Genomic DNA, 13,265 nt, shown 5'->3' on the forward strand with positions numbered 1-13,265 from the left:
AATATGAAAAGTTACTTGTACATGGGAAGTTTATTTTCTACCAACGAAGTCTGTGTGTGTGTGTGCGCTCACATGTGCATGTGTGTGTGTGTAAAACGCTTACGTACTGCTATGATGTGAATGTCACATTTCTCCCAAATTCATATGAAATCCTGGTTGAAATCCTAACCACGCACGCTGCCCCGTGTGGTATTGCAAGACTAAGTACTTTGCCACAGTTTCCCAAATCTGAGCTACTTTTACCACCAGAGTTTACATTCCCATATCCCAGAGTCTGGAGTATGAAGTATGGTGTCAAGTATTAACAGCCTGGGTCTGATTCCATACTCTCAGCACCAAAAATTGTTCCTCAGAGTTCACATGTGATAGTTCAGTGCTGTCATGCTTTGCCATTCATGTATTTAACAAATATTTGTTAAGCACTAGGCATTGCGTTAGGTACTGGAAGTAGAGAGATAAATAAGACACGGTCTGCGCACTCATGGCATACACAGTGTACCTACAGAACAGCAAATATGTTTCACTCTGGTGTCAACTCTGATGGATTTAGAGGGTTGCCCAGAGCACTGGTTAAAAATAATTCCAGGCAGTATTTGAATCCAGTGGGGAAAAGAGCCATAGACGTGGAAAGAAGGAATAGCTTTGAATGTTCGTTCAACTAGGTTTAGCTGGGGACAGACACATATAAAACAAAATATAATTTAATGTGGTAAATGCTATTCATGAGATAAGAACAAAGTCACATCAAAGCGCAGAGAAAGGAGTTAATTAATTTTGCCACGAGGGAAATAGAGTAAGGAAAGACCTCACTGAAGAGGCTAAATTGTAGCTGGGCCTTGATGGATGACTAAGAATCCAGTAGGTGGTGAAGTGGGGAAAGAAGATTCTAGTCCAAGAATACATCATGAGCAAAGGCACGGAGGTGTGTAAGCATGTGGGGTATGGAGACAACAGTGAGTAGTCCTGTTTGGTGAGAACACAGGGTGTGGAGATGATGCTGGTAGAAATGAGGCTGTATCATAGTAGATTGAGACCAGATTCTACTGCCTTATCCTATAAGCCACAGGACTCATTGAAGGCTTTTAATCAAGAGACTGTATAGCCAAATATGTGCTTTAAAAAAGTTACTCAAGAAGAACTAGACTGGCAGTAGAGAAAAGAGAAACAGGCGGTGGGGGGCGGTGGGGCAGAAAGGAGGCTTCTGCAGACAAGGGACAGTAAGTGCCCAAATGGGGGTGGCGTGGGATGCGGGCATAGAGAGAAGGAAATAGCACCACCTCATAGCGCAAGGATGCTCTTGAAAATGACCTATCATAAGAGCTTTGATCAATATAAAGAAAATTCATTAGTCTAATTTTTTCATTGCTCATGTTCTAATATTAATGTTTGCATATGTGTATACATAATTAAATTACACATATAAATGGGAGTTCCAAGAGTAATCTCAGATTTTAAAATTTAGCCTCATGACAATCCTATAAAGTAGGTACTGTTACTCCCATTTTACAGAGAAGAAAACTGAGGCTCAGTGATTTAAAAAACCCAAGATAAGTGATGTGAAATCACACATCTTCTAAGTGTCAAAGATGGCATTTGGACCCAGAGCAACTCAAGATTAATTACTATTCTATACCACGTGAACGATTAATTTGCCAATGTTATTATCCACCTGTAATATATGTTGAATCGCCTACATACATACCACTTCTTTTCACTTATATATATGAAAAGGTAGATGTGTATGACCCGTGTTGAAAGCAGGAGAAAATTACCAAGAAACATGAAAATAACAGTGAGTGAGCCCAACATCTGTAGTAACCCAAATGAGTTGGACTTGCAGTTTAAGAAAAGCTAATAATTTTTTTCCTGAGTGCTGATTCATCAAGTAATTTTGATTCTCTTACTCTACTACAATCAACGTATTAATCAATCTCACTGGCAGTGTACCTAGCATTGTGCTGGGGAAATACATCGTACATCTTCCCAGGAGAAAGATCCCGGGACTCTGAGACAGGAGACATGGTTGGCAGCCCTGGCTCTGCCATTAGCCTGCCACACGGGCTGGGACTATCCACTTGACTTTTAGGAGCCTCTCTTTCACCATTGGAAATAGCATCGATGATCACAAAGGTCCTTATCATGCCTTCAATGTTCTCGTGCCTGCCTTACAGGATTCATTTCGAGAAAAAAGAGTGGTTAGTACTCAACATAAAGTATAGTAATAAAACACATTCAATTGCCACGACTGGTTTAGTAATCACTTGGCCTCCTCTGAAACAACCTCCTAAATATGCAAGGGGAGTGTTTATCATTCCTGCGCCTAAGGAGCCTGACACTTCACTGAGAGAATGAGCTTTATAATTTCTTACTTTTTCAAAAATGCCTGCATTGAAATCTTGCAGGATGTTTAAAATGGCTTTTAGAGAACCTGAGGCACTTTGAAGTGGGTGGAGTTGTTCAATGCCTTATTCCTCCTTCCATTTCATCTTACGTAGAGAATCCCCAGTGGTGATTTTTATACATGTTAAGGTACTTAATCGAGACCTTTGGAGTTTGGCCAGTGAGTAGTTTGCTCTGAGACAAAATATTCTGAAAGATGGCTGGATACACATGCTGTTTCCTAGAATTAAAGATTGCAAATAGATGTATGCATCTGGTTTCTTGCAGGGGAAGACCAACCATAAGGTGAATGGAACATAAACTTGCTTTTGCCGCTTCAACAGCACCATCCGTTCTTGCTAGCATCTTTTTTACTTCCAGAGGGTTTGAAGAAGCACGTGTTGTCTTGCAACAGTGCAGTCCCTGCTGTCTTCCAGCTCTAATTGTCAAGATGCTAGTCTCCAGAGAGCGAGGGCTCCAAGCAGTTATTAGAGATGATGGCATTCCTGGAGTGCTGGGGGGCATGCTCTGCCCTCCAAACTAAACAGTTCTCTTATGGCTTCACCCTATGCATTCCTCCTTATATTAATGCAGGAGCTGATAGATTGGTTGAGAAGCTGCAACTAATATTTTTGAGGGCATAAAAGATGATTGTGTTAGTTCTAATTCCAGAGCCCATCTTTTTAGCAGATTATGATGGATGACTCGCCGTGGTGGTCAGCGCCTCCTGTATATTTTAGGTGGAATGCTTTCTTTTGACACATACTTTACAGAGACACATGTGTATCCTATTTTAATTAATGGAAGAAATGATTCACTCACAAGTGAAAGATTTAATTAAATAAAGGGTCAGCACTGGTCAGCCATGAATCGCAAAATACCTCAGGTGTTTATTAGTCTCTCTGCCATCTCTGCATGCTATCTGGAGTGCCACATGGCAGTAAAAGCAGGCCTTGCAAAGAAATGAAATGAAGTTTCATTCATTCATTCATCCAACAAATAGTAATTGAGCCCCTACTGTGTTTGAGGCACTGTGTTAGGCTCTGGAGATACCATGGGGAAGAAAGACCTAGTTTTTACCCTTATGGTGACTACAGTACAGTGGGGGAGGAAAGAAAAAAATGAGGAAAGGACAAAAAGGACACAGTTATTACAGATTGCAACATGCTTCATGAAGTAAAAATAACAGTTTGTGGGCGGTTTTCCTTGCAATGTTTTGTAATCATTTTTTAAAGAAATTAATACTCATCTTTACAATGCCATACTTGTTTAATTTTGGAATATATACCTGAAATCAATCTGGCCCCCATGCAGTAGATAAAATATTTTATTCCTATGAGCAGCAGCTATACATATTGAGTTTCCCAAACTTAGGATCATTGTTATTTTCAGGAAATATTGGAGAACACAATTGCTTATCTCGTTAGCTCCTTCCTCTAAGTTGGTCAACCTTGTGCTTTGGAATCAGACAACCCTGGATTCAAATCCTGACTTCTTGACTTGTTCACTTTCTAACCTATAGTATTACTTTGCTTTTCTGACTTCAGAGAATAATAATAATAGTACATAAGACACTGAGTCATTATGAGATAATACATAGAGTACCGAATACACAAAAAGGACTCCATTGATATTTGTAGTTCATGTTCTTGTTATATTATTATTATTATTATTATTATTAGTAGTAGTAGTAGTAGTAGTAGTAGTATTTTTCCCTCTCTTCTGGAACTTTCCACATTCTACTTTTTTCTAGTTGTTCATGTTATTTTCTTATTCTGTCATTTGGTTACAGAGGTCACAACTCTTTTAGCACTGAACCCAGGTGATATATGGTTAATACTCAATAAATAATTGCTGAATAAATAAATAAAAGTATTTCTACCTCTTTTTGGAACTGAGTAGAGAACAAGTTAACAATAAACAAAGTCTCCCGAAAGCTTCCCATGACACTTGGAATAAAATATAAATGCCTTGTCATGCTAAACGGGAGCCTACAGGCTTTGGTCTCTGCTTACCTTTCTAATCTCAAACACCACCACTTCCCCTTCCACACTGGCATCAGCCACTGGCTTTGCCTGTCTAGGGAATGCCTTTCCTCTAGAACTATGTATGGCTCACTCCTTCCAGTCTTTCTGCTCAGGTATCTTCTCCTCCAAGAAGTCTTCTCTAATCACCTTACCTATTCATTTTCTATATCCTTATCTTAATATAGTGCCTTATTTTTCCTTAAAGTGTTATTGCTGTTGGAAATTAAATTATAGATTTTTGAATTTACAAGTTGATTGTATATCTCCCCCACTTATAACATACAAATTGCTGAGGGCAAGAGACTTGTCTGTCCTTGTTCAGCCCTGAGTCATCATGCCATTGAATGAATCAGACAAATGAAGAATCTATTTTTATTTTCCTGAGAAAATATAGGTGTAAGAACTATCCAAATAGTTTCCAAAGTACAGTAGCCTCTAAAATATAAGAACGTTCCCTAAAATTTCTTGCTTGCGGCAGGCACTTCTGAATTTAATTTCAGAATGACAGGAAAGGGAAAAATAAATTATTCTAGTCACATGGAAAATGAAGAAAAAACCAAAAGGAGGTCTCCCAACCCCCAAATTTTAATAGATTTCCTAAACAGTTTTGCTTTCTCACCATGAGTCTAACCTTTTTGTAACACTTCCTTTGCGATTAATAAGTAGCTGGTTACTCTTGTTCTCCAAGCCAGGAAACATGGATTTTCTTTAGTTTTCACATGATCTGGCCCAAAGCATCGAGCAGGAAACTTGGATGTTTCACTTGGCATATTTCACTGACTGAGAACCAAAGAACTGCAAACAAGAGAGATGTCTCCATTTGCCTAGGACGTCTTCGTGGTAGAGGAAAGGCGAGAATCATGTATACCAAGATACTGTCCAGGAAATAACAACTGTGATTAACTCCCACTGGAATGGAAGAAAGGAGGGGAACTGGTAGATTTTCTTCTACTTCTAAAAATGTGAGCCATCAGAGCCTGGGTGTGCCATGTACAAGTTGTTGCATGGTGTGGGGCTTTGCTGTGGTTGTTTGGAGCGTTTTGTCCCGGAAGTCTCTCCAAAGAGCCTTGCCGGCTGTTCCTGGCAACGTCGGGCCTGGCTTACTCAGATTAGTGTTTTAGGAGAGGTGCTTTGGGGTAACAGAACTGGCTTCATTTCCACCATGACCACATCGGCCCTGTTTTCTGCTGTGCAAAAACAAAATTCTAAAAAATGTTACCATACCAAATTGTAGGCTGCTTTTGTTTTATAAACAATTTTTTTAGTCTGTGGAAACTGTAATAAAGACTAATGACATATCCAGTTGTTTTCCAGAGCGCCAACTCAACTTGGGGGACTTTTTCTCTCAGCATGAGGTCCTGTCTTTCTTTCCTAGCAGATATTCCTGAAATTCATCTCCATGCGGTCAAGTACGTAGCAGTGGGGTGAAGTACTTGGCACCCCACCGTGGAACCATGAGCTTCTTTCTGCCTCTGAAAGAGGAGGTTTTGGAACCACCAATAGAGCACCAGTGGGCACCAGCTAGAGTCAAGGAAGTGTTCTTGGAGCGGATCTCAGTTCTGCCAGGCAAGGAAGAGGCTCCCTTGTAAAGGGTGTGATGCATTTGGGGCTCACATAGCCCACGGGCAGTGAGAATATTTCACGAAGGCTTTGTTATTCCCAGATGCCTAGACAATTCCCTGAAGTTCATTGCTTTCAAATGCCTCGCTGCTCTGAGTACGATTTCATATGAGGGAAGCAAGATGAAAGCTTACAACAGGATGTCACTGATTTTTCAAACACAAAGCAGGCCAAGGTGATAATACTAATGGAACAAATGTGCTCTAGGAGAAAATCTAGTAGATTCTTATCATTTACACACATGAAAAATCACAAAATCGAGGTGAGCGCCAGAAGCCTTTCCCTTGTAACCAAGAAAACTTGGGCTAGCTGCTCTAATCGCCTGAGGACAGATCCCATTTACAACTGATTCCATCTACAGCTGAGGGAATCCGTGCAGTGTTTTCACTCCCAGATTGCATGAAGCCATGGTTAAGAATCAGACTGCCATCCCATGATTGTGCCTTAAATTTCACGTCTATAAAAACAGAAAAATAATAAACTTATCTAAAAGTGTTGTTATAAAAATTAAATAAACTAATCTACAAATGTGCTTGGCATAGAGTCTAGTATATAGTGAGTGCTCGATAAATATTACTTACAAAATAAAATTATTATTACAGTTATAATTTATGGCATTATTATTATAATTTTCACTGTCTTTTGAATTGAGATTGTCTTGTAGCCTGTATATTAAGAGGTAAAATACAAAATCACTGTTCTTCAAGGCAAATTTATTGGAAAAATACTACAGGTGATGCTACAGATTTCTTTAAGTATATTCTTAACATTCTCTTCTACTAATAGTCTATAAGTCCCCTTTTAATATCTTCTTTACTATTCTTTCTTCAGTGCCTGATGCATGAGACTCCTCAAAAAAAATTGCTAATTTTTTTTAGCAAATAAGTGTTCTTTATTCATACAGAAAAAATTCATTCATACTTTCAACCTAAGAAAGCTGATTGAAAACAACAGTAATAACTACTGCCTGAGTAACCTCTACTGTTCTTCCATCTAACACTTTTTCAGCAAAGAAATTTCCCTGGTGAGTATAAAAGTTCTAAGATTGATGTCATTGTGAGCAAGTGAGCTCTCCATCCTTGCATTTCACTCTTCCTGGTGGTCTCTGTTAAAGAGATCTCGCTCTTAAGAACAGAACCTACAAGACTGGCTAGAACATCTCCTTAGATACATCATTTGAAACACTGACTCATTATTTTAATAGCATCTTTCTTAAATTAGGGTCAGAATTCTTTTCCCAGCATCATCCTTTCTATCTATTTTAAGACAGAGCCATCACTGTCTCATGTCCCCACTAATTGGATAAGTGGGTCTTTCTGACCTTGCAACAACTAAGTAGAAAGCATACTTAGTGACTGTAAAATTGACAGGCTTCTCTTTTTCTAAGTGGCAGGTATAATCTAGGACTTTTTGAACAGCACTTTGAGTTCCTACACTTTTCTATAAAGGGGTTTATATGTGAGTTGGCAGAAGATGGGGAGTTAACAATGCAGGGATCTACCACGTTCATTTCAAGCCATGTGCAAGGGGTTTCCATTGCACCACATGGAGAGAGTAACATGTTGGCAGATACCACCATGGCTTGTATTCTGACCCCTAGCCGGGAAATCTAGAAGCTGGGCCATGGGATAACCGGCCTTTTTGATGGTGGAGTCAGGAGACGGCAGCTGAGACTCCAGAGAGCTTTCCCCGCTCCTCTTCCATGTGAGGATATAATGAGAAATTAGCTCCCTAGCAGCTCATAATGAGGCTGTCATCTACTGCGGTGAGAGGGCAGAGAAAGTTAAGGTCAAAGTGGCCAAGCACCAGAAAAGGTTAAATGACCAACCAAAGCATATCTGTTATGCAGGGTCAGGGCCTTGGCTGGGAAACAAATAGGACTGAACACTTGGAATCATGTGGTTGAATGCCCCTTCAAATTTTGAACTCCTAGACTTCTCTGAATTCTTTCAGCCTGAGAAATGTCCATTCCTCCCTAATAAGAGCAAGAACTTCTCCTTGCTTGAAGACAATGAAGAGGCCTCTGATCTGAAAGACAACATATAGCCCCCTCAGGACCTGTTCCCAATTTCTCCCTTACCAGTAGGCCTATAACTAGGATCAGGTCACGATATAATCCCACCAGCGTTAGACCATCCAAGGCTTGATAAGGGAGGAAAGGGACTATTCCCCAAAGGTACTACAAAACATAGTCAATATGTACCAGCAGAAGCTGGGCACTCAGTACTGGGCTGAATTCTGAGGGTGCTTGATCAAGGAGGCTGGAACATAAGATTGAATGGGGTGGGCTTATTGATTTCAGAGCACTCTGACAAAATACAAGATTTAACTTTCTGGCAAGGGCCCCAGGAGATGATGTAAACACCTTCTAGGATAGCTCCTAAAAGTAAGGAACAAGCAATGGACCACATCAAATGAAGTCAAAATGCCATAATTGCTGTGCCAGATGGTTGCAAAAGTGATTAAAAGGCTCAGAGAAGTAGGCATGCTGGAGTGGACATAGTAAATAAAACCAGAAGATTCACTAAATGATTGTGTTTCATGAGAAGGCCAAGACCATTTACCAAGACCAGAAGGAATCTGCTGGTGAGAATGGCAGAAAGCTGCCACAGTAACCTCTGTGAATCAAAAGTTTGACCCCTGCTTAAAACTCTTTCCATTCTTCTGAGCATCAACAAAATGTTCCAGAGCCCTCCTCAGAAGGAGGTACTAGTAAGAGAGGTTATTTCATAAATAGACTTACAAAGCAATTGGTATGATGCGGTCCCCAAAGCAGTGAAGGTCTGGTGGTGGAGCTTGACCGCCAGAAGTTAAGTAGACACAATTATCACAATGAAAGCATGGCCTCAGTGGCAGCCAAGAGGGCCTAACCTGTGGAGATGCACTGAAATACCTAACAGAACATGGCGCTCATCGAGGCAAAAGAGATGGGCAGCCCACAAGGGTCATCACCAGCATTTACCTCCAAATAAATCAAGGACAGATGACAGGAGGCTGAGGGCAGATACTCTAAACAATGTCACAATCTCTTGTCCAATTTCTGGACTTGAATCTGTTTTCAAACTCAGACTCACTAGCTGAACTGGAGGCCAGTTCTCCAGGAGAAGGGACTCTGTAACACCACAGCAAGTGTACATGGTCATCATTTCCCCAGTCCTTCCCCAAGGCACCTATGGCCATGTACTTAGATAGCTACACACTGAAGAAAAAGAAATACTCAAATATTTCAAGGGCTGTTGGACAGAGTTGACATGAATACTTAGCAATCAGAACCATCACCATGCCCTCTATCTCAGGGTGCAGGACTACAGGGCTAGGCAAAAGATCAAATCCTAGTCAGGGTCCAGTTTACAGTGTGTTCACTGGATCCATGAACTCACACAGTTGTCCTTTTCCCTGTCCTTGAATGTATAAATGGGTTTGATATACTTGGAAGTTGGTGCAACTTCTATACTGGGTCCTTGATCCATAAGATAAAAGCTACCATAGTGGGTAAGGCCAAGGAGAGGTCTCTGAAAATGCACTGCCCTCTCCTCTATCAAAAGAGTAAATCAGAAACAATATTGCATCTTAGAGAAAAGGCAAAAATTCATTGAATAATCTACTGTCATCATCCAGTATCCATTTGGTGTATTCAGGGCCTAGAGTGGCAAATTAAATGGAGATATCATGAGACCTCCATGAAGGGGGCTACCAAGCTGACTGAGAAGCAATCACAAGAGAGGTGGGAAAAGAACCAGGAGAGAGTGAAGTCATGGAAAGCAAGGGATTAAAGCACTAACACCAGCAGAGAAACAGAGTAAGGTCTGAAGGTGTCCATTGAATTTGGTGAACACTGTATCACTAATAGCCTTAGAAATGGCAATTCTAGCCAAATCATTCACTCATTCATTTAACAAATATGTATTGCATGTGTCAGTGGGGAGGAGAGAAGAGGAGAGGAGAGGAGAGGGAGAAGAAGGGCTCCAGGCAGTTGAGATAGGATGTCCAAAGCTCAGCAGTTGATGCAGGGAAGAGTGTGTTTTCCTTTTCCAGTTACATTAATTGGTGAGGAAGGGAAAAGTCTATAGAACTTATGTATGATTTCCTCAATTTCTTGATGAAATAGGAGCAGAACCATCTTCATCATAGGAGATGGTCTCATGGTATCTGGGCAGCCAGGTATGGGTTGGTTGTGTTCAAACAAAATGACCACAGACTCTTCCTCAGCCTAATGGGGATGACTGTTGTATTAGCTGGGGTCCATTCAGGAAAACAGAAACCAAGAAAACCAAGCTGGATGTTACAAATAGAGGGCAATTAAAGAACTGGTTGCAAAGAACTGGTTGCAAAAAATTGGAAGTCTAAGAAGACAAAAAGGCAAGCATGGATAGCCCAAATATTCGTAACTACTGGAAACAGCTATTAGTCAAAGGTTAGGGAAACAAAGGAGAACAGGTCTAAACCCTAAGTCAGAGGAGGGCCCCCACCTACAGGCTGGTGCTCAGACCTCAGGAAAGGGCGTGACTGGCCGGTGCAGGTTCTGCAAAGAGGGAATAGTGCAACTGGTTTGGGGGGTGCCAACTGAAACTGGGGCTGAAGCCATAGCTGCATTTTGCTGCTGTTTTTGCCGTAGCGACACCAACGCTAGAAACAGAAAAAGTCCCTCCTCTTTTCATCGTCTAATCTCCCTCTTCCTATTAGCTAATCTCCCACTGGCTAATAGAGAGCCAACCAGAAAGAGTTTCTGGGAAATGTATTTTGCAGACCCCGACCCCACCATCACAGAACAGACCATAGAACAGCGGTTTGGGAGCTGAAAGACAAGAGCTGAATGCTCTGGTCTGAATGGCTGTGTCTCTCCAAGATCTATATTTTGAAATCCTGACCCCTAAGGTGATGGTGGTAGAAGGCAGGGCCTTTGGGGGGTGATTAGATCATGGGGTCTAATTCAGTGTCTCGTGAGGGCCTGTTTTCTGGTTCATAGGTGGCACAGAGCCCTCATGAATAGAATTAGGGCCCTTATAAAAGAAACTCCGGAGAGATCCCTCGCCTCTTCTGCCATGTGAGGACACAGTGAGAAAACGCCATCTATGAACCAGAAAACAGGCCCTCACCAGACACCAAATCTGCCGGCCCCTTAATCTTGAATTTCCCAGCCACCAAAACTGTGAGAAATAAGTTTCTGTTGTTTATAAGTCGCCCAGTTTATGGCATTTTGTTATAGCAGCCCAAATGGACTAAGGCCATAAATAAACACCACAACTATATCAGAGTATAGAGATGACTGGAGGGATATAAACAAAGAGGCTGGTGTTCTGTGACCCCAAGGCCAACAAGTGTGGGTGCTTTTGCCCACCAGGGAGCCCAGCAGTTGTGAGCTATGACCAGGCATTTCATTTCCTCTTTGGTGGCTGGTATTGCCATCTGCAGAGAAGCCACAGAGCCTGACAGCAGAGAGAACACAGCATTGGCAATGGTCCTGAGCACATGTGGCCAGTGCTCTTTGTGATTGCAGAACCTGGGGTTCAGGAAGGCTCTCCACAGTCTCTTCCTCGTTATTACGATTTTCCTAGGTAGAAAAGCATTCGAAGGGCTTCCTAGGGCAGCCAGACCATATGAACTAAATTTAGAGGAGAATAAATTGCAAGCCATGTTTGGAAGAGAGTTGAAACATCTCCTTTTTTCCCTCCTTTACAATATGGGAAGGAAATTTTAAACATAAGTGAATGTTTAAAAATCAATAGCTTTCTTATGTTGCAAAGGTAGCTAATTAGAAAATACAATAGAAAAGTATCCCATTCTTAATATCAATAGAAATTATAAATATCTAGGAATAAACTTAACAAGAAACATGTAGAATCTACTTATAGTTGAAAAAAACTTTGAAAATTTAAAGGACCGAAAATAGCACTGGAATAAGAAAAGAGATGTAGTCTACTGGAAGTTTAAATATCATTAAATATAAATTATCCACCAACTGATTTAGATTTTTAATAACGTTACAAAGCAAAACCCCACAGCAGCTTTTAACCTAATATATGTCCAAATATCCAGAAAAATAATTTTATACAATTTTGTAAGAATATAAATGACAGAATTATTCTAAAAAACAGGTTGGCTATATGAATCAAGGATTCTTTTAAATCAAGTCTGGATGGCTCATGGTCAGGAGTCTGAGACCAGCCTAGGAACAGAGCAAGATCCTATCTTTACAAAAAATTGAAATTAAAATTTAAAAAAAGAGAATCTTAAGTAAGATATTTATACAGACAATTAAAAGGCATATTATCTTGAGTACTCAAATATGTGGGGCAGGCACAATGGCTTACGCCTATAATCCCAGCACTTTGGGAGGCTGAGATGGGCAGATTGCTTGAGCTCAGGAGTTCAAGACCAGCCTGAGCAGCATGGCAAAACTCTGTCTCTACAAAAAATACAAAAATTAGCTGGGCATGGTGGCACATGCCCGTGGTCCCAGCTACTCAGGAGGCTGAAGTAGGAGAATCACTTGAGCCTGGTATGCAGAGGTTGCAGTGAACTAAGATGATGACACTGCACTCCAGCCTGGGTGACAGAGTGAGACCCTGTCTCAAAAGAAAAAAAAAAAAGATACAGGGAAAAGTTCAGGATAAATGTTTAACAGAACTCAGAACACAAACACCTAAATGTTACCAATGGTTAACCCTAGTTAATGAAATTCTCAGTAATTTTTATTTTATTTTATTTTATTTTATTTTATTTTATTTTATTTTTTTGAGACAGTCTTGCTCTGTCACCCAGGCTGGAGTGCAGTGGCGTGGTCTCGGCTCACTGCAACCTCCGCCTCCCAGGTTCAAGCTATTTTCTGCCTCAGCCTCCCGAGTAGCTGGGATTACAAGCACCTACCACCACACCCAGCTAATTTTTGTATTTTTAGTAAAGACGGGGTTTCACCATTTTGGCCAGGCTGGTCTTGAACTCCTGACCTTGTGATCCACCCACCTCAGCCTCCCAAAGTGCTGGGATTACAGGCGTGAGTCACTGTACCCGGCCATATTTTAGTCTTTATATTTTGGGGTGTGTTTTAATTTTTACCATGAAAACCTTATTTAACCAGAAGGGGGAAAAAAACTATCCTTTCAAAAAGAGGAAACAAGAGGCACTTGATTTCCTCTAAATTTTCTTTCAAAAATTCAACAACTCTAAGGGCTGATATGTGCCAGGCACTGTGTTGCAGTCTGCCATTTGAAGGTCAGACCACTTTGATCAGAGTTGAGG

The 13,265-nt window shown here is 40.9% G+C and overlaps 1 annotated feature.

The window, feature by feature from the left end:
* Positions 4,788 to 5,987: an enhancer, noted in NCBI's record as "BRD4-independent group 4 enhancer chr1:62071813-62073012 (GRCh37/hg19 assembly coordinates)". NCBI's record gives its function as "activates an origin of replication core promoter dependent on BRD2, P300/CBP, MED14 and CDK7 cofactors, and independent of BRD4, by STARR-seq in HCT116 cells {active_cell/tissue: HCT116}" and the evidence as "EXISTENCE:reporter gene assay evidence [ECO:0000049][PMID:35650434]".

Source organism: Homo sapiens, chromosome 1 (genome assembly GCF_000001405.40).
Source record: "Homo sapiens chromosome 1, GRCh38.p14 Primary Assembly".
NCBI classification, from domain to species: Eukaryota; Metazoa; Chordata; class Mammalia; order Primates; family Hominidae; genus Homo; species Homo sapiens.